General features: G+C 35.5%; 1 protein-coding gene and 1 long non-coding RNA gene across 11 annotated transcripts in view; one reads left to right on the top strand and one right to left on the bottom strand.

Moving 5' to 3' along the window:
- Window positions 1-27,172, top strand: part of LRRC7 (leucine rich repeat containing 7) — a 576,443-nt gene that overhangs the window by 186,413 nt on the left and 362,858 nt on the right. For all 10 annotated transcript variants that reach the window (NM_001330635.3, NM_001366839.3, NM_001370785.2 and 7 more), the window contains one exon: window positions 5,857-6,059. In NM_001330635.3, coding sequence (NP_001317564.1) covers window positions 5,857-6,059 — 203 coding nt within the window. The remainder of the gene's footprint in view (window positions 1-5,856; window positions 6,060-27,172) is intronic.
- Window positions 3,970-6,474, bottom strand: LOC124904199 (uncharacterized). Its single transcript, XR_007066167.1, has 2 exons — window positions 6,211-6,474; window positions 3,970-5,116 (listed from the first exon to the last, which is right to left on the bottom strand). It is a non-coding gene; the product is annotated as an uncharacterized LOC124904199 (long non-coding RNA).

Genomic DNA, 27,172 nt, shown 5'->3' on the forward strand with positions numbered 1-27,172 from the left:
TTGCGATGAAGAAAAACAGGCTTGTTCAGGAAATGTTTAGGGTATTTAATGTTTAGGAGATGGTGATTGTTAAATGTGGAAAGTGAGAGAATTGGAGGAATCAAAATTGATGCCAAGGTTTCTGTCTTGAGAAACTAGGTCAGTGGTACTGCTGTTTGCTGAGATTGGTAACATGGGAGGAGGAGGTTTGGGTAGAACAGTAATTGCTAACACTAAGTAAATGCTTACAACTTGAAGATACAATTTTAAGTGTTTTGTATGTATTCTAGTATTTTACAGATGAGGAAACTGATAGAGGTAATATAATGTGCCCTGGGTCACATAGTCAGGCAGTTTGCTCCAGCGTCCAAGCTCCTGACAATGGTAATGTGCTACGGACCTCTCAAGAGCATTATGCCAATTATGTGCATGTGACATACAACTTCTGAGAAATGTGCATCTTTGTAAGTTGTGAGATGCCTATAAAACATAAAGTAGAAATGACGAGGGAAGTAAATCTGCATTAGACATTTAAAAAAATGTACAGTCATCCACTTACCATTTAACTTATGAAAAATGAAGTGAGAGTTGGGAAAGCTGAATGATATTGTAAAGAAAAAAAGGGTACAATTAGAAGGGTAACAGTCTAGGGGACAAATTCTAACACTGTAACTCTCAGTGTCTGGGTAGAGAAAGTGACACCTCGAAAAACTGAAAGGGAAGAACCAAAGTGGACGGATAAGTGTCAGAAGAGTTGATGTCAGGGACGCCAAAGGAAGAGTGTTTTTAAAAGGACAATATAGTTCTGTGCCCAGAACTACTTGCTAATATGTCAACTAAGGAAGGATTAAAAGGCTAAAAGGAACTAAAATCAAAACTTCCTTTAAACATTGAAATTAACCTCTTGCTTTCCTAATGTATCTATTCTTATAACAAAGACTCCACTAACATTGAAATGAATCTCTCACTTTCCTAATGCATCTATTCTTGTAATGAAGACTCCACTAAACCAAAAGGAATATATATATACACACACATATATATATATAATCTATCCTTGCAAAATATATATATTTATATATATGCAAAAGTATATATATATATATTTTGCAAGGATAGAGAAAATATAAAAGGAGACATCAGCAGATAATAAACTTCAGAAATTTTTAGAATACAAGAAAGATGTATATATATTTATATAAATGCAATGTATATCTACATTGCATATATATGTGTGTACATATATACATACATATATATATAGTACAAGTTGCAAAGCACATTATTAGCAACATTATAACAAAGTACCCACAAAGGGATATGAAAATAGATTATACACCACAGACCTTCTTAGAATCTTGGAAATATTGGGTACCAGGCAAGAAATTGAAGAGACTTAGTATTGAAAATAGGAAAACTGACTGACAGTCTCTATATACATAGTAACATGGCTATACCCCAGGCAGAAGGCCAGAATATTTTTCTCCAGAATATTTTTCCTGAATATCTTTTGGCTTGCTGCCAGATTACCCTGCACTAAAACCTATCAAGCCTGCAAAACTTCCGATTAGCTTTTGAGGGTTTCATTCTTCAGTATAGGAAGACAGTCAGGGATCACCAGATATTTGTGGACAACCTTTACCATGAAAAATGAAGATCAAAAGAAACAAGCAGAAAGTAGAACTCAAATAACACAGGGACCAAGGGGAAAAAGACAGAAAATCTGTAGTTAATATCTTCTGAGAAAATGAAAATGATATGGCACCTTGAGACACAAATAGGATACTATGAAAAAAGATGATTCAGGGAACAACATACAACTCTTGTAAGTAAAAATATGCTATTAGATAAAGGGTAAGACAAGACATGGATTTAGGAGATAAAGTTGTGAAAATCTCACAGAAAATAGACTAAAAAGACAAAAACATGGAAATTTCAACAGAAAAAAATATTTGAATTGTAGGATAAGTCCAAGAGACAGGTCCTTCATCCAGTTAATGGAAATCACAGAAAAATGATTTTTTTTAAAAAATGAAGAACTTATCAATTAAATAATAATAACAAAAATTTAACAGAATGCAGGATAAATGCTTCCAGAGTGAAAGGGCTCATCAAGTGCCTAGTATGATAGATTAAAAAAAATCAAAGCATATTGTCATGAATTTTCAAGAGTGAGGAAAAATAAAATTTTAAAACTTTCCGGTGGAGAAAAATGTGGGTGTGAAATAGGATTTTGAATAAGAATGGAACTGAGTTTCCCTGGAAACTAGAAAATATGATAAATAAAAACTTTTTTATTTATAAAGAAAAGGTATTTCTGACATGCAAGTCCTCAAAAAATACACCTTTTTTGAGGTATATTTTGAGGTATCAAAAAGGAAAATAAATCCTTTTTCAGCAAGTGAACAGACATTATGCTCCACAAATGAAGGAATAAATCTAGAAAGAAAATGACATGGGGTCAAGAAAATAGGAAATATAACACAGGAAAGAAATGAAAAATTCACAGGATGATAGTGAAGAGTAATTCTAGGATGACAGCTGGAAAAGCAACCACTCCAGACTAAATCAAAAAGATATGTTATTCCTAAAAGGTTACTCCAGAGTGGAGGTTAAGGGGAGTCATGGAGTAGCACTACAATCAAGTTGTTTAGAAATTCAGGGGGAAAAACCCCTACAAAGTTGAAAGTTATTATGTGTGGGGAGCATAAATCAGGAATAGAAGGAATTGTGGTTGAAAGTCCGTAATCTAGATACCAGAGTCATCAATGAAAGAATGGGAATGTACAAGAGATTGGTAAACGAAAGGTGTGAGGACAAGTAGAAAGATATTAATACTTTCTACTTAATACTTCCTAATTAATAGAGCATGAGACCATCAAATGAACAGGGATTTTAGAAGATGAGAGAAGATTCATAGTTTTTAAAGTGCAAGGGGGACAGCAATCCCACCTTCCAACCAGAAATTGGCTAATCAGCATGTGATGTGAGAAAATCAGCATGCTCTGCTTTTAAAGGCTATGAGGTATCTAATTACCTTAGGGGAGAACCAAGTTTTAGTTGGGTCTATGAGGATGGGAGTGAGGAGGATTCAATGAAGAGAGACTGAGCCTCAATAAAGATGTTTATCATGGTATAGACACAACTGAAGAATTCCCATGGAGCAGAGGGGAGAGAAGAAGCTGGGCCAAGGAAGTAGTTCAGCCTGTTGTGGGATGAGCAAAGAAATACAAAAGATGACTAGAAGAGTTTGTTTTAAGGAATGGGAAAGTGCCTAAGTGAATACAATTTCAAAAGTTTTGGTAGACAGTGGACACTGGCCAAATGGTTTAGGTTCAGGCCTGGATATTGTGTTTTTCCTCTTAGTTCATAATTTAAAATGTGCAATGATAGCAACACAGACATCAAGAAATAGCCATGGTGAGTGAGAGACGCTGGGCAACAAGAAGCATGAACAATTGATTTATTATTCCTCTGTGGATACAGAAGCAAATGGGTGTGTGCCGTGGATCAGCTCTATTGCATCACTGGGGGTGGGTTAATGTGACTACTAGATACTCAAATTAAAAACCTGGAAATCTTTCAAGACCCTCCCCTCTCTCCCATAGCCTCTCTTTCCACCTCTCATTTAATCTATCATCAAATTTTAGATTCTGCTTCTTAAATATCTTCCCAATCCATCACTTCTTTTCATCCTCGCTGCCACTACCATAGTCTATGCTATCACCACTTCCCTTTGCAACTGCAATAATCACAACAAACATTTACTAAGTGCCTATTATATATAATATGTTAGACACTTATGAGGGTGCATTTACTGGGTGCCTACTATGTGCTAGATGCCAGGTAACAACATGAAAGGCATCAATCCTACAATCAAGAATTTCAAGTAAGGTTATGTAAAACAATAGTTACAAAATCTTGCGATTCTGGTTCCCAGAAATGAAAAGAACAGGAGTTGGAGAGACAGAAAGTAATGGAGAAGAAAGGTCAACTTTTTAAATGTTTTTATTCAGCCTTCTACAGATTACCATGTGCAAACAATCGTCTATAAGTATTTATTCATGAACCTGTCCCTAGAATATCCTTTTATTAATTTCAGAAGTTGAACAATGAAAAAGGATCACTTTAGGCTGAACATCTAGCACCTCTTAAAGCATGTTCTACTTGATTGCCTCCAAATATTTTTTTCTTCTAACTTTTACTTATGTTCATGGGGCACATGTGCAGCATTGGTTACACGGGTAAATTGTATGTTGCAGAATTTTGATATACAGATTATTTCATCACCCAGATAATGAACGTAATACCCAACAGGTAGTTTTTTGAATCCTCACCCTCATTCCACCCTCCACCCTCAGGTAGGCCCCAGTGTCTATTGTTCCCTTCTTAGTGGCCATGTTTGCGCAGTGTTTAGCTCCCACTTATAAATGAGAACATGCAGTATTTGGTTTTCTCCTCCTGCATTAATTTGCTAGATAATGATTGTCTCCAAATTTGACTTAACATGAGCAATTTTAAAAACAAAATGCTACATTGTTTTTATAAATGTTACTAATTTCTGTGTAAGCAATAAATTTGTGTTACTAAGTAAAAATACATTAGCAAGTTAAATGCAAGTTTCAAATTCATGTTTATTAAGTTTTAATTCTGTAGTTGGCAAACTGCACTATGTACTGTAAATTTAAGGATAAGTGAAACAAGATCTCCTCAGAGAACTTGCCTGATACATGGGGAAATAGCCCACACAATTAGGAAAACAATATGATTAGTGGTGTGGGAACTCAGAGAAAGATGCTACTCATCTTTCCTAGGAAGACATTCACAGAGATAGTGACCTTTTCGTTAAAATAAGTTTTTCAAGCAATTATCAGTAGCTGACGGTGATTAGGAGGAGAGTCCTAAGTATATTCATTTATTCATTCATGCTTTCATTTGTTTATTCTACAATTGTTGTTAAATACATACTATATATCAAGTACCAAGATAAATACAAGAATGAACAAAATAATCACTGCCCTGAAAGGCCTTACTGTTTAGGAGGAAAAAATACATGAAAAACAGTAGATTGAATAAAATGTTGAAGGTGCCATGATAAAAGTCTTCGCAAAATTTCATGGCATTTGGTCAGTTTAACCTAGAGGAATAGGAGAAAGATGTGTCAGGAGTGTCACAGGAATTTCTACCATAATTACAAGTTGTTTTATCCCATATTACAAGGTTCGTAAAGATAGATCCCCATTTGGAAGTGAATAACCAATCCAATTATAATCTGTAGTTTCAACGGAATAAAAACTCCATGAAAACAGGGTCTTTGTTCAATGCATCACTGTCTCCACTAGAACAGTGCCTAAAACAGCTGTTATTCAGTAAATATCTATTCACCGATGAAATTTGTGGGCTACAAAGAGTACATCATAAACTTTGGGATTGAAACATGAATATTTTTACAGAAATGGGAGAAATGTTTTTTTCCGCAAATTCTGGAAGTTTCTGTTCTACACTGTAATTTGTGTAAAAATAGAAAACATATTATAGCTCCATGTTTCAAGTGAGGAGGTAAGCATGCTAGTAGCATTGAACTGAGACAGGATTGTATCCTAATTCGATTCTGCCATTCCAAAGCTGTGTGATGATGGGAAATCTCTCGCACTTTTTGAGCCCATTTTCGAATTTGCTAGATGGGAATAAAACCTATTTCACGTACTTCGCAGGGCTGTTTAAGGATTTAATGATACAATGCGTGTGTGTGTCCTACTTTAAAGTATTCTAGACTGTATACCAAAATTAAATTTCTAAGCTTTAAATATTACAAGAATGCCTTCCAAGGGCACTGGATAAGCTGTTTTGTTTTGTTTTGTTTCTGCGTTTCTCTAGTGCAGTGCCTGGAGATGACCACCAAACGGAAAATCATCGGCCGTCTGGTGCCATGCCGATGTTTCCGAGGTGAAGAAGAAATCATCTCAGTTTTAGATTACTCCCACTGCAGTCTTCAGCAGGTGCCAAAGGAGGTCTTTAACTTCGAACGAACATTAGAGGAGCTTTATCTAGATGCCAATCAAATTGAAGAACTACCCAAGGTAACTTTTGACAACCTAAAATATACAATGTAAATGAGTATTTCATAATTTTCAAATACTTTATTATAATGGTAATGTGAACTATGGGCTCCTATCTAGGTAACTGACAAGTCATTGAAATTGATATAACTTCCCCCAATATTCTCATTACCTTTTAATGTTACTCCATTTATGATTTCACGGGCCTCTGTTAATAACAAATTGAGCTCTATGGAAACCACCATTTGATGGATTATGCCTCGTTATCTTCATTTAAAATGACCTCTATAAAAATATAGAGTAGAGGGTTGAGATCAATAGTTTATGTTTAGAAAGAAAGGAAAAATATGACACTACTCCAGAACTGAAAATTTCTATGTTGTATATTAAGGTGACATTATATTACAACCTTGAATTGTATGCTGTAAGTCTAAGAAATGCTTTTACACACATTAATGCTATTATGAAAAACATGTTTTTGTACCTGTATGTAAAATATTTGATTATTACAAGTAGCACTGGATGTATGTGGCATAAAACTAGTAAAAAGTTTACTAGGAATTTGAAACTATCAAACTTTGTGCACATACACACACACACACACACACACGTGCACACCTGCACACACACACACTGCCATTATGGCATTGTGCCATGCAAAGAAAACCAGGTCTCCTGTGACCTTAGTCCTTATTGCAGAAAAGACTGGATGATAAGAGATTAGCTAAAGCAGACCAAGACCACACAGCAGAGAAGTTCAAAATCTAAATCAAGGGATCCTAACAGTCACCTAAGTAAGTAACCCAGATTAAGTAGTTAGCATGGTATTTACCTGTGAAGGATTTATACGGCTGAGAAGGGAAAAAAACGTCATGCACTCAATTTCTGTTGCTTATGCTAAAAAGTAAAAATGTATATTAAATATGCAGTAATCAGAAAAAGAATCTTCCACAATAAAAACTTGAAATTAATTATCAGAATCTGATATTTCAATATGCTGATCAAAATAAATTATGAATAATTATTTTTATTTAAAGTTATAAATTATCATTTGCCGGCCTTTTGGCTAAGATCAAATGTAGAATTATAAATTGTGCTGTTTACATAACACTTCAAAGTTAAGAACTTTTTAACATGTACTTCAAAAACAATATACTTCATTTTTGACAATCTGTGTATTGTGTCATCTGGGATATTTCCTTAGATGACACTATACACAGGTATAGTGTATTTTTTAGAGGTAGGTCAGGCCTATAAAAAATATTATTGACTACATGGATTCACACTAGGATTGCACATCAACTAAAGCCTGGAGTGAAATAGACTGTCTGTTGTACCAGATGAGGAACTACTTAAGGGCAAAGATGGCACCGTATTCATCTCTGTTTCCTGGTACATGGGCAGGCATGATGAATTTCACATAATAGATACTGAGTCTCTGTTGTCCCTGACTGAGAGAACAATGCAGAGAACTTCATATGCCACAGGACTTGATTAGCAAAAGTATATAAGTTTGCATAAGTCATAAATGTGGTAACCCATTCTAATTTAGGAAAATAGGCATGGGGGGTGGCGGGTTTCTAGGTCAGGCCAATCTAGGATTGCCAGAAAGAAATAGAGGACACCCAGTTATATTTTACTTTTAAATTCAGAAACAGACAACATTTTTGTAAAATTATGTCCCAAATTTTGTATGGGATACATTTACACTAAAAAAATTTTTTTTATTTACATGATGTTCAAATTTAACTTATCATCCTGTATTTTTATTTGCTAAATCTAGCAACCCTAGGCCAATCTGGTCATTTTAAATCTTTTTCCATTTCTATGCAACAAATTTTGTAAGATAGGTAGTAAAAACATGGTTAATTTATCAAGCAAGTATTTATTTAATATCCATTCTACTACACAGTACTTGAAGCTTTAGGGAGGTTACAAGAGAAATAAATCTCGATCTCTGCCCTTCCGGATCTGACAACCTAATTACAGAGAAAAACTGAAGCATTAGAGGCAAGTGCTCGGTGATGTATAATCGGAGCCAAAGAGCCAAGTACCATTGTAGAGCGTATGTATAGAGAAGAGCTCCATTTTTGGAGAAGTAAGGGAAGAACTTGACCAAAAAGCACAGATGGAAAATTTAAGATGCATCAAGAGTTGAAGGGAGCAGAGTTGTGAAGAGTCTGGAACTGCAGGTGCATGGATGTGGATGGGGGCAATATGTAGGGAGACTGGGGGAGGACTCAGGTTATGAAAGTTCTTGAAAGTCACATAGTATTGTTTGGCTTAATGCATTGATAAGATAATTCCATTGAAAAGTCTTATACATCAAGGAACTCACTAGGATCCTAAGTAGGCTTGGAAGAGAAATTTTAAGATATTTTGTCTGTTTGGTTAGTTAAAATAATTGACTAACAATAATTAAAAATAATATAAGTACACCAAAGACTTAATATATTTTACCAGTGCATTATAGTTAAGGAGAATTTATTATCCTTTATCATTGACCTGCCTTATATATTTCAAAGAAATTTTACATAATCTTTAAAGGTTTCTGTGAGTTTCAAGGTTGAATTTTTTTTACTTTCATAAAACAGCCATGTAAGCTAGTTTCCCTTAAAGTATCTGATATATTGAAATATGATCTAATGATCTGATATTGAGGTATGATCCAAACAGTACATAGATGTATTTGTGCATTATAGGAAAAAAATAGGAAATACAAAAATGAAAGGAATAATGCATCAGAGTTCATTATATGTGTTTCAAGTAACAGAAAACCCAATACAAACTGACTTTACAAAGAAATAGGTTTGATTGGCTCTCGTAAGTGGTAGGTCCATCTCAGGACAGTAATCAGAATTGATGGGTTTCTATTCACCTTGGCAGGAACAAATTTATTCCGAAGCTGACTTTTCTCATGGTAGCAGGATGGCTGCAGTAGTTCTAGAGTTCACCTCCACAGCATCCAAAAACAGAAACATCTGACTCCTTAAAACTCTTTCTGAGAAGGACAAAATATGTCTCCCCTAAAATTCTTCAACTAATTTGTCTGCAGATCTCATTGGCGTTAATTGTGTCACATGTTTACTGCTGATGTAATTCCTTTGCTATCTGAGTACAGAATTAGCTACTATAAGAAAAGTGGGATTACTGTAATTGGGCTAAATAATAACGGGTCACCTCTGTAGAGTTGTGGCTGCTGGTAGCAGTACAAGGGGAAGGGGTGGAAAGGGTAAAATGGCTGTTGCAGAGATAACCATAATGTGCACTATAAAGAAACTGCTATAAAATAATTATTTCAGGAGGAAAAATGCCTCAAAATCAAAAACTATGTATAAAGTTTTTAATGGCCTATAGGCAGAGCATTGAGCTCTTTAAGGATTTAAATCTTTAAAGTTAGATTAAATAAAAATTATTTTTGTCTGCCATTTTATTTTATGGTTTTCTTTGAGTTGTTATTCAGATTTGTTGAGTAATAAGATAGCCATTTTTATTCTTGATATTACATCAAGTAAGAATTATCTTTTACATATGTATCTATTCTTTGCTTTCTGATATTGTACACAGAGAATATTATAATTGGTCATGAATCTCTACTATAAGATGTTATGTAATACAATGGGTAGAGAACAAAAAGTCAAGGTAAAAGGCATTAGGGAAGATATATCAAGAGTGTGTCAGAAAAGATACAATAATAGATATGAAAGAACAGGAAGTATTTTGATTAGGAATAGTTCAATCTGTGTGTCTTGATTTTCTGTAGTGAAAGGTAAAAATACAAAATGACATGCCTTTCACACAGTGATAGAAATCCACGCAGCTTATAATTTAGTACTGTTTTGCTTGTTATTTTGAATTAGGAACTTAAAATTATAGACAGAGTAATAGACCATAACAGGTGCATATTATATATGAAGTAGTGTGGGATGGCAAATTTGAAAAAAAGCAATAAAGAGAAAAACTGCCAAAAAAACTTCTTGAAACTGAAGAACTTTAAAAAAGAGATTATAATTAATTTTGGAAAAGCCAACATATGACTAAAATTGAAAGACCTGGAGAGTGAATTTGGTAGATGAAATCAATTTAGCTACATGTAAAAGAGATGAGACTAAATTTTAAGCACCATACTTTCAACATTTTCTCGGCTTAAAAGTTTACAACCCACTCCAAAAATATTTTAGAGATCAAGAACCAAAGCTTTTGACCCAGGCAAATCTGGAATTATATCCTAGCATTGGTATTTGGTTAGAAAAGTATTCTTCCTGGAAACCTGTTTCTTCATTAGTAAAACTCGGGAAGTAACAACACTGTCTCCTGTGGGTGGGTAGGTGGATAGATAGGTAGGTAGATAGATAGACAGATAGATAGATAGATAGATAGATAGATAGATAGATAGATAGATAGATAGACAGACAGACAGATAGATAACTGGGCAAGATGATGTCAGTGGAATACCTGGAATAGAAAAATATTCAGTAACTGGTATTTATTATTCTATTACAGCTGAAATAAGATTTCCATGTTAATTTACCCTGAATCAAAGAAAAGTAAGATTATGTAACATCTCAGGATAGTTCTAGTGTTGACTATTCGACAAAAAATATTGTGGCATGACATTCTCTTTATCTGAAATCTTCAAAGACGTCTTCTAGGAAAACATTCCCTGGTCCATAAAATGTGATAGGGTTCTGACCCTACACACTTACATCAACACATTTGTGATAATACCACTACTTCCCCAGAGAATTTTCTTGACTCACACAATAACAATATTACATTATTTTTATTAGAAGCAACCCTGGAGATTATTTAATTTAGTCCCCAATTTTTACTGATACGTAAGTCCAAAGGGAAAAGTTAATTGACTTTCCTTAGGCCACATGGCATGTTAGAGTCCTATCCAAAATTATTACCAAAGACTATGTATTAGGAAAGGAGAGGTTATGCTGCAGTAAAAACAAATCAGAATCTCAGTGGATAACTGAACAGAAATTTTGCTTTTTGTCCATTAGTGCTGGCAGGGACCACTGCTCTTCACGAGCCCATCCTAACAAGTAGTTCAACTTTCCACCCAATGCAGAATCATATGCTTATTATTTCTCTTGCAATGGTCACCCAAGCTCTTTGTGAATATTTTTAGCAATGGAAAAAAATCACTAATTTAAAGGATAGACCATTATATTACTGGAAAGTTCTAATTTTTAGAAAACTCTGTAATACGTTAATGATGTTTGCCTATTTCCATCCATCTATCTATCCATTCAACACTTGGCTAGGAGCTCAGGGTGATACAAATTATTAAGGTATGCCTTCACTGAACAAGAAACTATGCATTCATCGTCACTGTCTTAATCCTTCAAATATTTTTAAAAACTCAGGTACTTGCTTAAGGGTTCTCCTTTCTAAGACAAGTTTCCAACTTCTCTTGACTATTTTTCAGACATTCTATCTAGACTCCTAACCATCATAGTTACTTTCTTCTGCACAGATTGCAGTTGTTAGCTTGGTTTTAGATATTGCATTATCAAATAAAAATATTTATCCAAGTGAAAGTACTCCAAAAAGCAATAAACAAAATGTAATCAAACTCAGGAGAGGAGTCATAGTTGGAGACAGATATTTAACAGTCATCCTTTCAAGAAGTGAGTTAAAATCAACAGACCAAAAAAAAAAAAATGTCCTTAGAAAGGAAAAAGACAATTGCAGAGAAAAAAATATTAAACTTAGAAAGTGAAATGATAGTATAAACTCACTGCTGGAACTTGCCCAGAAGTTATTTGTGTTTCCCCCAGCAGTCATGACAACTTCGCATACAGAGGCAAAATTGGGAAATTTTATTACGCTCATGAAGCCAAAAAATCTCTCCATGGATGAGAGGAATGCAACATCCCAACTGATTTTGATCTGGGTTTCTATAACTTATAAAACCTATTTGCTCTAATGAACAGAAGACAAAGAGAGCAATTTACTGTGTAACACTTTCAAAGCTAATTCTAGATATTTTCAATCCTCTAAGACATTTGAAATTTAAGGTCTTGCTCATTTCACTTATAGAGATCACACATTAACTGTTTTGTGTCTGAAGGGTGAAGTTCTTGCTTCCTATCAGAGTGCCATAAAACACTCAGAGTGGATACAACATTAGTGAGATGTAGAAAAGTTATACAGATATTTTAAAGTAATTAGCAGGAAAACCAAGCTATGTATTCTTAATACTTACTCATTTCCTGGAGGCACGTTGATGGTGTCTTCATTTGATGCTGCTTTTACCTCAGCATGACGCAGATCAGTTGATCCCAGGCTTCTGGATTGAAAAATCCAGCAAACTGTGTGAACTAACATTCTCTTTCTTTTGCTAAGTAAACATTTTTAAAACACTCATATATGATTTTTATTATTTAATTGTAAATGCTTTCACACCCAAATGTAGAAAACAATCATAAGCACAAAACAAATGGCAGGCTTCTACAAGAAAAAATAGGTAGTAAACTTACACTGTCTTTTTTTCTTAAAAGTTTTGTCGAGATGCAATTTACATTCCATCAAATTCAGTTTTACAAATTCAGTTGTTATTTTCACAGAATTGCACAGCCGTCATCACTGTCTAATTCTAGAACATTTTCATCACCCTTTGAGAAACCGCCCATATCTATTAGCAGTCACTCCATGTTCCCTGTTTCTCCTCGCCCCTGGCAACTTATTTCTCCATCAATTTGCCGATTTCAGAAATTTCATATAAACAGAATTACATAGCATGGGTCCTTTTGTGACTGTCTTTTCACTGAGCATCATGTTTTCAGGGTTCATCCATGCCATAGCATGTGTCGGTACTTCATTCCTTTTTATTGACAAATAATGTTCCTTTGTATGATTATACCGTATGTCATTTTTTTAAAAAATAGAATATAACACTTTTATAAATGCAGAAAATTTGTTATAAAATGTTATTTTTATATTACACATATGTGTAACTATTTTCTTAATACAAATCCATCAGTTTGGAGCTTTATAGTCTTTCGTATACATAAAGTTGAACTCCAATACCCAAATTCCTCCAGTATTTAGGGTTTTGTTTTTTATTTTTATTTATTTATTTTTTAAAAGACAAGAGTCTCACTCTGTCGCACAGTCTGGCATGCAGTGGCACAGTCATAGCTTACTGCACTCTCAAACTCCTGGGCTCAAGTGATCCTCCCTCATCAGCCTCCTGAGTATCTGGAACTACAGGTGTGTGCCACGATGCCCAGATAATTTTTTATAGAGAAGTGGTACTATGTTCTTCGTTATGTATATTGTACAAGCTGTTCTCAAACTCCTAGCCTCAAGTGATCCTACTGCGTTGGCCTCCCAAAGTGCTGGATTTACAGACATGAGCCACCGTGCCTAGCCAATCCAGTATTTTGTTTTAATTAGGCACTGGTTGAAATTCAATTTCATAAAAGTATGCAGTGAAAATGAAGGTAAATTTTTAACAATATTACACTCAATATAGAATATTGTCAGTAAGCTGAGAGGTGCCAGAAAAAAACAGCCTCCATATATCTACAGTTGCTTGCCCTAGGTGAGGGAAAAAAAAACAGACATTAAGAAGCCACATCCAGGTGAGGGCTGCAGGAAGACAGCTGTATGGTGCTCACTACTCCACGCCGGCCACTCATGCTGGGCTTTGTAGCTGAAACACCGATCATTCAATATAAAGCAGTCAGGGATTTATCACAAAGGTGTTTTAGGCTGGTGAAAATTTTGTCATGGGCTGGCTTCAGTCACTGGCCCATGAAATAGCAGAAATCCTCCCCAACTCTTTAGAAAATAAATGAACAACAAAAATGCATCTGAGTCATGCCAGCTAGAGCTCCATGTTCATGACTGGTAAATGGGCTCTGACAACTGTGCTGGAGCAGTTTGGCCACATGAATGCCAAACAGGCTTTCTCCTCGGAGACTTTACCCTTGGTTTTTCCACTGCCAGGCTTGCTCTGCCCCTGGCTTGCTCCTTTGTTTCCTTCAGATCTCTGCTCAAACATCACTGGAGAAGCTTTTCCCCATTATCTCATACAAAATAACAACACCCACTATCACCACCACTTATTCAGCCTGGACAAAATTTTAAGCCTCATTGTGTCTCTAAGAGATATCTCATACAACTTGATTGTGTTAACCAGTATTAAGATACTGCCTAACTACTTTATCATTGCCATAAAACATCACTGTAAATATCTCCCTCTGATATGCTGTCTATTATTTTACAAGGAATGAGAGCTTTGACAGTGGCCATAGGTAAGGAAGGAAGGGGAAAGTTAGAGCATATCTGCATATGCATAAAACACAGAAAATATAACTCTCTCGTAGCAGTTTTTACATTTTTGATGCTGATCCTGGGAGTTGGGATGACATGGGATAGTTTATGTGATTCCTCTATAAGCCAGGACCTAATACAACACACTGTTTGCATTTTTCCTTCCTCCCAAACTCTTAGTACTTTTATCCATATAAATTAGAGTTGTCACATAATGTTTGCTCAAATAAAGGAATGTGCTGTTTGAGTCTAAGAGCAGTCAAGATGTCATGGAATGTGCTTTTATGTTTGGGGATGTGGGGTGGAATAGGTTTTCTAAAATTCTTTCCAAACAATATTTTGTGATTCACTAGTATAAGCTTCTTTTTAAATAGACAAAAATAACCAACAATAGAAGGAAGCATTCTGACAAACAGCATAGTAACTATAGTTACCAGTTATTATCACAGATGTACTACAGTACAATGTAAAGAATTCTGGTGAAAGAGGACCTAGGTTTTAACACAAGTTCTGCCACTAATTAGTCATGTGACTTCAGACATATTGTTTAACTCCTTTGAGCCTTAGCATCTTCATTTGCAGTAGTTGCTCATCTAGATTTGTTCTTGCCCATCTCCTACAATTGTGGTGATGATCAAATAATATAAAGTATGTGAAAGTAATTTAAAAAGAGCAAAGTAATCTACAGGTTGAGCATCCCTAATCTGAAAATCTGAAATCTGAAATGCTCCAAAATCTGAAACTTTTTGAGCACAGACATAATATTACAATTAGAAAATTTCACACCTGATCTCATATGACAGGTCATAGTCAAAACTTAGTTCCATGCACAAAAATTATTTTAAAATATTGTATAAAATTACCTTCAGGTTATGTGTATAAAGTGTATATGAAGCATAAATGAATTTTGTGTTTAGACTCTGGTCCCATCCTCAAGATATCTCATTATGTATATGCAAGTATTCCAAAATCTGAAAAGAAAATTGAAATCCAAAACACTCTGGTTCCAAGTATAAGGGATATTTAACATGTATAACTGTTGAGTTAAGAGAAATGGCTTATTTTAATAAGAAACAAGAGTTGTTTAGTGAAGTTGTTTTGCATATTTAAAATAAAGACAAATATAACACTAAAATAACAGAAAGTTCTTTTAGTTGCTTAATCAATGGCTATAGATTACTATTTAATATGGATTTACAGTTGTGTCAGTTAGTTTTTTTTTATTGTAGGCCAGAAAAACCAACTGGCCATTTTAGGTAAAGATGAACACTTACTAGAAAGATATCCAGGCTCATAGAACTAATAGGGGCCTAAAGAACTTTACATGGAAAAAGGACAGGAACCAAGAGAGTTCTAGACTGCTGCTCAGAATTCACAGAACAGTGATGGTCTGGGCCACACAATGCTGATTTTCTGAGGATGGCAATTTACAAAGACCTCCATGTAACCGTGACAGTTGTTCAAGATTCAAATTCCTGCTGCCTCCACAATGTACAATGAGGGATGTCATTAAAAGGAAGATCAAGGTTCTAATGCAACAAGGGGAAATGGATATCTGACAAGCAAAATAAACAAAAATAAAGCATCCTCTAATATTCTACATATTATATGCTTTCAATCGATGCTTCGTTTCATTCACTGATATTTGTAACTTAAGATGTATTAGTTCAAGGCCATGTTTTTCTTAAAACTTTAAGTAAAATTATTTGAAAACAAGGACACTTATTTATTTTGTGTGAGGTCTAATGAGATCAAAGGAGCCATGGAAGAAAGATTTTAGGGTGACAAATTTTGAAATGCTATTTCATGGTTGTGATTGTAGTTTCTCAAAACTTGAATGATCATTGATTATTTTTTTTCCTCCTACTTAAAAAGGAATCTTTTGAAATGAAAAAACTACTTGTATCACTATAATTGCTGCTTAAACAGTTGTCATGATTGAGAATATGAAATGTGTTGCTCGAGATTTAACACAGCCTAAACTTGCAAATGTAGAACAAAAAAATTGCCACTTGTTTAATAAAGTTGCCCCATTTTAAAATTTCATGTTAACACTAATTCCCTTAAGGGTTTGTCTTTCATAAACAAGGAATGTTCTGTAGCCTTGGCATAAGTAGCCCCACATATATCTATGGAGGGCTCTCCTTAGATCCTGGGTTTGAATAAAGGTCTAAAAAATGACCTTTTAAAATGTCTCACTTTCTCACCAATGATTTTGTGCATGATTCTATCCTCCAGTAGAAAACTTAGATTCACCTGACGTAAGTCATGTATCCACTCTTCGATTAATGTTTCCAGAAATACAAGAACCTATAACTAACAAGGCTGCATGATTTTGTCCCCCAGCGCCAAATGTATACAATTTTTCTGAATATATAAAACTACATCCAGGACAAAACTATCTCATATATATGCATATGTGATACATAAATGATCAAAATTTGACTCTGTTTAATCTCTTTCCTAAAGCATCTTTTTTTCCATATATGTTCTTTAATTGCAATTATTTTGGCATTTAAATGAATGCCATTATTTCTTTCAATAAATAAATAATGTAGATTAACTCTCTAAAGCCCCAAGGAAGAGTGAGATGAAGGACATGAAGATTAGCAAAAACATAGTTTGCATGTGGAAAATAGTAAATAATTTTTGCTTACTCAGATTTTAGTTTTTGCTTAAAATGTTTTATTATTTAAAAATTTATAGTACCAGCAACTCTTAATTATGTGAGTCAATGAGAAACTGACATCTGTAGTATCCCAGTCATTTTTTGAGCAGTTTTATAATCTTCTACAAGTTTATAATGAGTAAGATGACTTACTCATGCCATCATTTATTTCTAACATTTACCCAAATATCAAATATCATTAAAATCTGATTCAACAACAAATTTGCTGATTTTTCCTGCCAATTTTTGAGAAATGATACAAAAAACTCAAGATTTTAGGTAAAATATATCAATTGATTTGTTTGTTCATTCAGCAAGCATTTCTTGATTACCAATTATGTGCAAGCATTGTTCTAGGTGCCAGAGATATATTATTGAGGAAGATCAACAAATTTCTATTCTCACAAAATCTACCTTGCTCCAAAAGGAGCATGTAAATCAACAAACAATTTAAAATAAAAGTGTTAGGTGATGGCAAACGCCATTATGAAAATAAAGCAGGGGTCCAGGCACGGTGGCTCACACCTGCAATCCCAGCACTTTGGGATGCCGAGGATGGCAGATCACCTGAAGTCAAGAGATCAAGACCAGCCTGGCCAACATGATGAAACCCCATCTCTCCTAAAAATACAAAAAATTAGCCAGGCATGATGGCGGTGCCTGCAATGCCAGCTACTCAGGAGGCTGAGGCAGGAGAATCGCTTGAACCCAGGAGGTGGAGGCTGCAGTGAGCTGAAATCGCGCCACTGCATTCCAGCCTGGGCAACAAGAGTGAAACTCCGCCTCTAAATAAATAAATAAGAAAAAAGAAAGAAAAAGAAAATAAAATAAAGGAGGGGAATTGCTGAGAGGGTACTTGAGGTGGAAAGTGCAGTAAATGCCTAAAAAATGATCTTTTGTGTTGAGTTCTGAATGACAGCGAGGGGTCAACCATGCAAGATCATGCAAGATCAGAGAAAGAACCTTCTAGGCAAAGGGGACACTCTAAGGAGTGTGGCATATTTACAGGACAGGAAGAAGGAGGGTGTGTAAAGAATGAAGGGAAGAGTGGTACAAGGCACCACAGAAGAGGCAGGTGGGAGAGGTTGCAGGAGAAAGACTGGGGCTAAATCACACAAGTTCAAATAAGCTAAGAATGGTCTTAAGATTTTATTCTAAGTGACATGAAGGGACACTGAAGAATTCTAAGAGAAACAATGACATGAAATTACTTTTATTTTAAAAATACCACTCTGGCTGCAGTGGAAATACATTGTAGCAAGTCAAGAGCAGAGACAGAGATTAGAGGCTATTGCAGTTGTTCAGGTGAGAGGTTGGTGGCTTCAACTAGACTGACAATAGTGAAGAAAAGAATTTCAGACTATGTTTTGTAGGCAAAGTTAACAAAATTTGATAATGAAATGGATTTGGGAGATAGGAGATTAGGATCAGAAAGGAAATTTAGAAAGAGTTGCTATTGATAGAGGAGGAAAACAAGGAAAGAAGGGTTTTTGAAGATACAGGAAGAAAATTTATGTTGTCATGAAAGCCAAGAAAAGAACAGAAAGTGTTTGAAAAAGAGGGAGTATAAACTGAGAGATTGGCTAAGAGGATAGAGGAGAGACCATTGTATTTGCTAGTACGGAAGTCGTTGGTTACCTTAATAAGAGTAGTACAGTGAAAACCTGATTGAAGTCTATTAAAGAGACAATGGTGAATATAAACATCTCTACTTAAAATGTTTTGTTGTTAGGGAAAGCAGAAACATGGGACCAGCTAGAAAAGTGTATGAGGTCAAAATACATTTTATTTTAAGATCAGTGACCTGAAGGCACATTTGTTCATGACTAGAATTAAATAAGAAGAAAGGGGGAGAAACTAGATGCAGGAAATTGATGGAATAATTATAGGACCAAAGTCCTGAAGGCAAAAGGACAGGAGATCCTCAGAATGCATGAAGGGGAGGAATAGATGTACTTCATTCATTGTAATGAAATGAAATGAAAGAGAAAGAAGAAAATATGGGTGCAGATGATGATGGTTGGGAGGACTTGAGGGACATGATAGACACTGAAGTTTGTTCAAACCATAGAGGTTCCAGTGTGTGAAAGAAATGCTGTGAGCTGAAAGGACGGGAAGTGACAAACTGAGAGGGTGAGAGAGTGGGGTACATGAAATTTGGGATTAAAGAGGAATATCACTTATAAAAGGAATTAAGGGCCTTAAATGTATAAATTAACTGTATTTTATAAAGTTTCTTTTAAAGTGGTGGGTAGTTGAGAAACAGATATCAAAGGCAAGTTCTCCTAAAGTCTCCTTTATTGGCTTATATGCCTGGACCAGAAGAAACCGAAAAGACAGATGAACAGCTAAGAAGGCAGGAAATGCAACAAAAGTTTACTGATCATCTGCTCTGTGCTAATCACTTCATATGCAATAGCTTTTCTGTCCTCAAAACAACCCTGCCCAATAGGTTTTGTTATCTTCACTAAATTTAAGGACCTTAAAGCACAACGAGGTTAAAGAATGTACTAAAGGGTATACAACTAGAAAATAGAGCTGGGCATGGTGGATTGCACTTGTTATCCCTGCTACTGGGGAGGCTGAGGCAGGAGGATTGCTTGAGCCCAAGAGTTCAAGACTGCAGCAAGCTATGATCACACCTCTACAGCCTGAGAGACAGAGTGATAACTGATTTTACTGGATTGGCCATCTTGATACTGGGGAAAGGAGCAAAATGGGTCACAGGTGACCCCTAGGTTTCTGCTACAGGATATCTGTGGAAGCAAAAAGAAGGGAGGCATAGAATCCAGGGACCAGGGCCCAGTTCAGAAGAGCAATAAAGGAATATCTTACAAAGCCAGGTGGGCATCACCTTGAGAGAGCAATCTTCCCATGCTGCAGCCGGCTATACAGGGCACAGGAGTGAATTGGTCTAGAATAAAATGTAGACCTACCAATTTATCCGATGTGCTTTACATTTAGAAATATAATTGCTTGACATTTGACAGAGCTTTTTGAGCATTTGGAGAAAATTAAGGATAAATGTTTAGAAAAACAAGCTAAAAAATGAAGCAACTTCAGGAACAAAAAAAAACTTTTATGAGTAGCATATACATAGGATGAACAAATCTAGAAATCTAATGTACAGCATGAGGACTATAGGTAATAAAACTGTACTGTATATGAAATTGATGCTTAATGAGTAGATTTTAGCTACTCTTGCCACAGAAACAAAGAAAAGTGAGGTGATTTATATGTTAATTTGCTTCACTACAGTAGCCTTTTTGCTATCTATGTGTATTCTGTAACATCATGTTACATACTTTAAATATACATATTACATTTATGTTTAAAAAAACTTTTATGAGTAAAGCAAACACAGGGAACAAATCCACATTATTAATGTCAGCATTTACTACTGATTTAACCGAAGATTTGGATGTAAGTATGCTGGGAAGATTAGGAAAAAAACTGATGGTGGCTTTGGTGGTGAGAGATGATATGATTTTTCAAGTGCCATAATATGAAATAAATACACGATCTCTACAATTGATAGAAAAAGACAAAGAAATACACGCACATCTTTAGAAATGTAGAAGAAAATACAAGAAGTAATAGCTAAAAGAGTTGAAAGAAACTATCTCTGGAAGAGAGATTGCGGGATGTGAAGAAGAGGAAAAAGAACTGAGATATTTTTATTTAAAAAAGTTTAAAGAGAAAAATAGAATTGAGCTAGAAGAGAAAAACACAGGGATTAGTTCTTTGGTAGAGCTGATCAAATTTGACAATATAATAGCACTTCCTTTTGAAAATGATTTATCAATGCGTCTTATAAAAGCCACACTAATAAAAATATATGTCCAGGGCGCAAGTATATTATAAAACATGATTTGAGCAAATAAGGTAAAAAGTAAAAATGTAATTTCATTAAGGTGTTTCAATTTCTGCTATCTGTTCTTTTCACTACTTCTTTTAATAGTTGTTACTTGGTTATTGAATGTTTTAATATTATTCATTTCCAGCTTATTAGTATATGACTTGACAGTTTGTTATACTCTAGAGAATTAATCCCCTGTCAACTCCGAAAGGCTGATTTCATTCTAGAAGTGAGTCCAAATTGCCACATTAGTGGAATGCCCTCTCTGATTTAGAACCACTTTGAGATCCAATTCTTGACCAGGCACTCTTAGAAAGTCAGGCCACTCTTAACTTGTTACAGAAATGTAGGATTACTTCATAGAGATTATGAAGCTGACCTTGCATAGAACTGACTTCTAGTCACATGTAAAATTCATATATAGACATTTGCTTTCAAAAATTAGGAGAGCTATATAAGGCCAGGAGTCAGGATCTACTATAGCAAATATGTACTGCGTCTTTCTATAATGACAATTAATTAAATGATTTCTAAGAGAGAACCATAAATATGTTACAGAATCAAATGCGAAATTCATCTGAATTGTGAAGATTAAAAATCATATTTACTGTATTCTGTTGTTAGAGATACTGTGGCAGAAAAGTTTAAGAGACCCTGGACTAGACTTCAGAGAAAATGAGCAGTTCCCCAGATTATGAGAAATGATGGGAAAGAAAAGAAGCAAAGGATATGAATAATGTAAGCTCACCCTTATTGCCTCCTAGCCAGCATTATTTAATTTCAAAGGTCAGCTCCAAAATCCCAATAGAGCCTCTAATTACAGAGACAAAGAGCAGCCCAAAGTGAAAAGTCTGGGGTAGGGAAAACCACTAAAGTCTTAGAGTTGGGCAGACTTAAGTTTGAATCCCAGCTTGGGGAAGGTTCTCAGCCTCAGTTTCTCTCCTATGTAAACTGGAGAATATAGCATCTACCTTGAAAGATTGTCTTACTCCTATCTTATTTTTATCATCTACTGACCCTGTGGTAATTCTTCTTCACGTTATATATTATATAACATAATATATGTGAAATGTGAGTATGGTGTCTGCAAAACATAACCTTTCAACAAATGACGGTAATTGCTATGAGCTACAATACAGTAAAGAATACAAAAAAGCTGGCCTCTCCCTATAAAATGAGAAATGATAGTTGCACTTTCCAGAAAGGAAGTTATCTTCTATTCCAAATTAACAGTGATATAAAATGAAATAAATCTTTTGCAGATGTTTTTTCTTCCAAAATGTATGTGGAAATTAATTTTAATAAAATCCTAGAGATATGTATCCCTTCTATGCATAGAGGCAATTTGTTGTTTCTATAACGAACCTGAAACAGCACTAAGAGAGTTAAGACCAGTCAGAGATTAGAGGAAACAACAATATTCTACCTCTTTCTTTAGAACCATTTTACTGCTTCTTGGTTTCCTGGTAATAATGCAACCTCACTAACTTGCTATTGATTTTTCATTTTGGGGTGTGTGTGGGTGTGTGTGTGGGTGGGTGTGTCTGTGTGTGATATTTACTGCTTCTTGCTTTCCTGGTAACAATGCAACCTCACTACCTTGCTATTGATTTTTCATTTTGGTGTGGATCTGTGTGGGTGTGTGGGTCTGTGTGGGTGTGTGGGTTTGATATTTATTGCTCAGACAGTTAAGTTTCTGTTTCTTTAAATTTTAAGTGGATGAATTAAAGGTTTTTTTCCTATTTTTTGAGATTCTTTATGGTGAATTTCCCATGGCCCTCAATGGAGTCTTCCCTGTGTGTGAGTGACCTTAAATAGGATTGAATTTTAGCTTTCTACCAAGAGCCCTAAATAATTAAGAGCTGACTGATAAAAGCTTGTAGTATATGTTTATTCATTAATATTAATGATATTTCCTTCTGTCATCACCAATGGAACACTGCCAGCAGCCTACCTACAGAGGAACCCTAACACTTGGGAGGAATGGGGCAGATCCCGGGCCCACAGAGGCAGGGTATGCGGGATGCCAACAGCAGGAGGAACTCTTTTTAGAAGAATGAAATCAGGGATGTCAGAGTGGAGTGTTCTCAGAAGGGAGGGATGACATTGTTAAATGGAATAGGGAGGCCAAGAAAGGCAAGAACTGTATAATCCATTCGACCAGGCAATAAAGTGTCATTTGTATCTTTTACAATGCCTACTTCAGGGGAGCAAAGGGGAAAGCTCCTTGATCTTGCTTTTCTCTCTGGGTTATCACCTTCATCTATTCTCATATTCTCAGTGCCACAGTGAAGACTCACAAAGCTACGATGCCAGCTCAGCCCAGTCTCTCAGTCTTCAAACTTGTACATGCTTGCTGGACTTACTTGAATATTCACACTCAGCAAGTGTAATTTCCCCCTTGAAACCTATCTCCTGTCCTGTATTACCTGTTTCAGTTGGTGACTATTCAGTTTGGATACCAAGACAGTCATCATTTACTCTTTCTATTTGTTCAGCTTCCACATCAAATCAACAGCCAAGATTTTGTTACCTAAATATGCCTTAAATCTATCTCACCTCTCCATCCTATGACTGAAGCCTGTGTCAGACCTTCATCTCACAGCTGACTAATGGAATAGTCTCCTTGCTGTTACCTTAAACCAGCCTTTTCCCCCATTCTATTCCTCACACAGCCAACAGTGACCCATTCCAAATATAAATATGACCAGACTGTAACCTAAGTTAAGGAAGTTACCTGTCTCTTCTCTAACTTCAGGGGAAAAAACCATGCAGCTTAGCATGGAATGCTGACATGAGGCCTCTATAGTCTGGCTACAGCCTATTTCTGCAATCTCTTCCTTCTTCTGCTCTCTTAGGAAGTGTTCCTGAAACACAAAGCTTTTCTTGCCTGTAGGTTCATGCTGTTTCCTCTGCCTGGCATGCTACTTTGATTCATCTCAACTGTCACTTCCTCCCACAGCCTTCATTATTCACTCCCTGGCACATTTGTTCCACTCTCCTCTGTGCCTCCATATTACCATGTATACAATTCCATAGTTGTACTTGCCAAACCTGTGGCAATTATTCATTCTCTATATGTTTATTGAATGCTTACTCTGTTCCAGGGAAACAAAGGTGGAGAAGAAAGACACTAATGTGTGTCTGCCTCCCCTACCAGAATACTAAACTATGTCTATTTAATCTTTGTTTCCATGGGAACTAGTGCAGTGTTTAGTCCAAAGCTAGCTTTTCACTAAATATTTATTGCATAAATACTTATAATTTTGTAACAGTGGGTTATAGAAATATATATGCAAGAGTATATGAAAACACAGTAGAGAGACAACCAATCCTGCTTTGCTTGGGGATCAGGGAGGTCCACCTGGCAGAAGTGCATTGCTGAAGACAAGACTAGAGCACAATCTAATTGGGTTTTTAGATTAGAAATGGAACCTTAGAGAACATGGAACTAGCTCAATAATGTGGCTAAGTATGAATGGAGTCAGAATTCAAATCCTGGTCTATCTGATTCCAAAGTTTATAATCTACTGATTAGCACTACCAGTGGAGAAAATCTCCAGTTATACCATGAGCCATCTTCTCTCTGGCTCACTGACCTTGGCAGAGCTAGTCAGCAAAGTTAGGCCTTTTGTCACTCATGACTGATCAGGGCATAGAATGGCAAAAACAAATATATACACACACATACACACACACACATATATATATACACACACATACACACACACACTCATATATATACACATATATACACACACACAAACATATATATATATATACACACACACTCATATATATACACATATATACACACACACAAACATATATATATATACACACACACACACACAGATACATACACAAACCAGCTTACACTAGTATGGAACTTTAGATTAATGCCATTCAGGCTAATTGTTCACATACCACATTGATTACCCTCTATAGACAAAGCCAGTAGTTTTTTATATGTCAACTAACAAAAATTTTACCAACCAATAATTACTAAAAAAGCAACAAAAGGAACCCCCTTCAAAGGCACACCTATGAACAAGCATGCTCATCCACACATATCCTTTATAATTTACCTTAATAGAGACATCAGGAATTTACCCCAAATACCCAGAAACAATGAAGCTGGGTTGAAATTAAGAACATTTAAAGCTATGCTTTTAAATTCAGCTTTCACATTTTTCTATTTCATTGTGGATATTATTAGCTTGCTACCATCACATAAAGTAATCAAGGATATGTAAGTTAAATAACATTTTCATTTAAATATTTTAATGCAAATTATTATTGAATACAGTAGATATGGCAATGTGCTATGCCTTGTATATTCAAAGCAACAGCTGTTATTCCAATAAAACAGATATATTCCCTTCCTTCTAAGACAATGGCAAACATTAAAATAACCTTCCTCTTCCAAAGGGAAAAATGATTCAACAACATCTTTGTACAAACTGTTGTTTAAAAGATCTGTATTTTAAAAACAACAGCAGTGATATTTATTGTTTTCTAGGATAAAATCCCTAGGTATCTATTGTAGTCACAATCTTTCTGCAGGAAATAAAAGAGCTCTTCTCTGCAGCACATTCAGCATTGTTAAAATGTACTAGAAAGGACTATAATTGTTCCCTTTTCCTGTAGCTCCAATGTTACTTGATACTACCAGCACCTGTCCAGTACTATACCTGTCCCACCAACCCTACACCATCACTACTACTAGGCACACTAAAGTCTTGTTTGACTACAAAATCTTCTCTTCTTTGCCCAAGCACTGCTGGCACCAACTCTTAATGATTTCTCCTCTTAGCTGTGTCACTCTGCTCACTTCTACTAACAGTGCTTTCATGAAGACTCATTATTTTTCATCTGGATGTTTTCTAATCTCCCACCTGCCTGTCTGTTCATAGGTGCCAAATGTTTCTCAAAAACAAAAATCTGAGTAAGTCACTTCGTTGCATATGAATATTTAAGGGGTAGATGTTAGTGTGGGAGAGTAACATAGAATAGTTTTAAAAGCACACAATTCCACGTATTTAAATTCTCTACATCAAGGAAAAAAGTCTAGGGATATTTCTTTGGGAATAAAATGTTCTTTGCAAAGCCATCTCTCTGCTATAGTATTTATTACATTGAATTTTATTTATAACCATTAGTTAGCTGTATACGTGAGGAAGGGGATTCTTTGTTATTCATCTTTGAATCCTGGCACTGTGCCTGTCACTGAGTAGATGTCCAAGAGGTGCTCACTGAACACAAGCAGTCTAGGGGGAAGGGAAAGGATAGAAGGGAGGAAGAAAGGGAAAAGGAGAGATAAAGGGAGGGAGAAAAGAAGCAGGGAAAGGAAGGGTAAATGATGTCACAATTGGAAGCTTACAATTTCACCAAGTATGTATATAAAACCATTTTTACTCTCTTATTACTTAGAGTTGGCTCTTTTCTAACAAAAAAAATTATTAACACTTGTTTTAAACAAAGGAAATTTTAAAATATTTTATTATAATGTGCACAGTATAATTATTTCTTTGAAACAACTTTCAAATGAACTGAACATCTTTAAAGGAATTCAAAGGAAGAACTTCTAAGAAACCAGCCATTCAGTGAGGCCAACTCACTAGACAACCATTTCTTTTCCCTGGTGAAATCTACATGTGCCTACATATGGCATCAATAAGCCTCTCACTGAATATTTATGATTTAATATAAAGCTTTTCAGGAAAAGGATTTATCTTTTGAAAATTCGCACACAACTAATACTTTTGTATTTGTGGTGAAAAACTATCCAGCTAATTTTATTTTTTCTAAGAAACTAAACTATGTTTGAGATATAGTCATCTACATTTATGCCATTTTTATAATGTTCTTAATTTTCCAAGCATGAGTATAAGGATGTTAATAAAATGCTAATCCAAATTATGATTTTTGCATTTATTTGGCACTTTGCTAACCCAAAGTGCTATAACATATACTCGTATTTACTCTAAGCTCCTCTCTGTCAGTAGATAGTTGTTGAGTCTGAGTCTTCTGTAATTCTTCTGGGGCCTGCGGCCTTTGTGAGGGCTCACTGGATCCTTGTCTTATCCACTCTCCCCTCCCAGAAAGCCTGTGAGAGACTGTTGTCAGTTCTCACCATTATCTTTCCAAAGCTCAGATCTGATCATTCAGAGGCGATAGTGCGCTAGTATAGAAATGGCTTTGTGGCTGGGCATGGTGTCTCTTGCCTGTAATCCCAGCACTTTGGGAGATCGAGGCAGGCAGATCACTTGAGGTCAGGAGGTCGAGACTAGGCTGACCATCATGGTGAAG

This window comes from Homo sapiens, chromosome 1, assembly GCF_000001405.40.
Source record: "Homo sapiens chromosome 1, GRCh38.p14 Primary Assembly".
NCBI classification, from domain to species: Eukaryota; Metazoa; Chordata; class Mammalia; order Primates; family Hominidae; genus Homo; species Homo sapiens.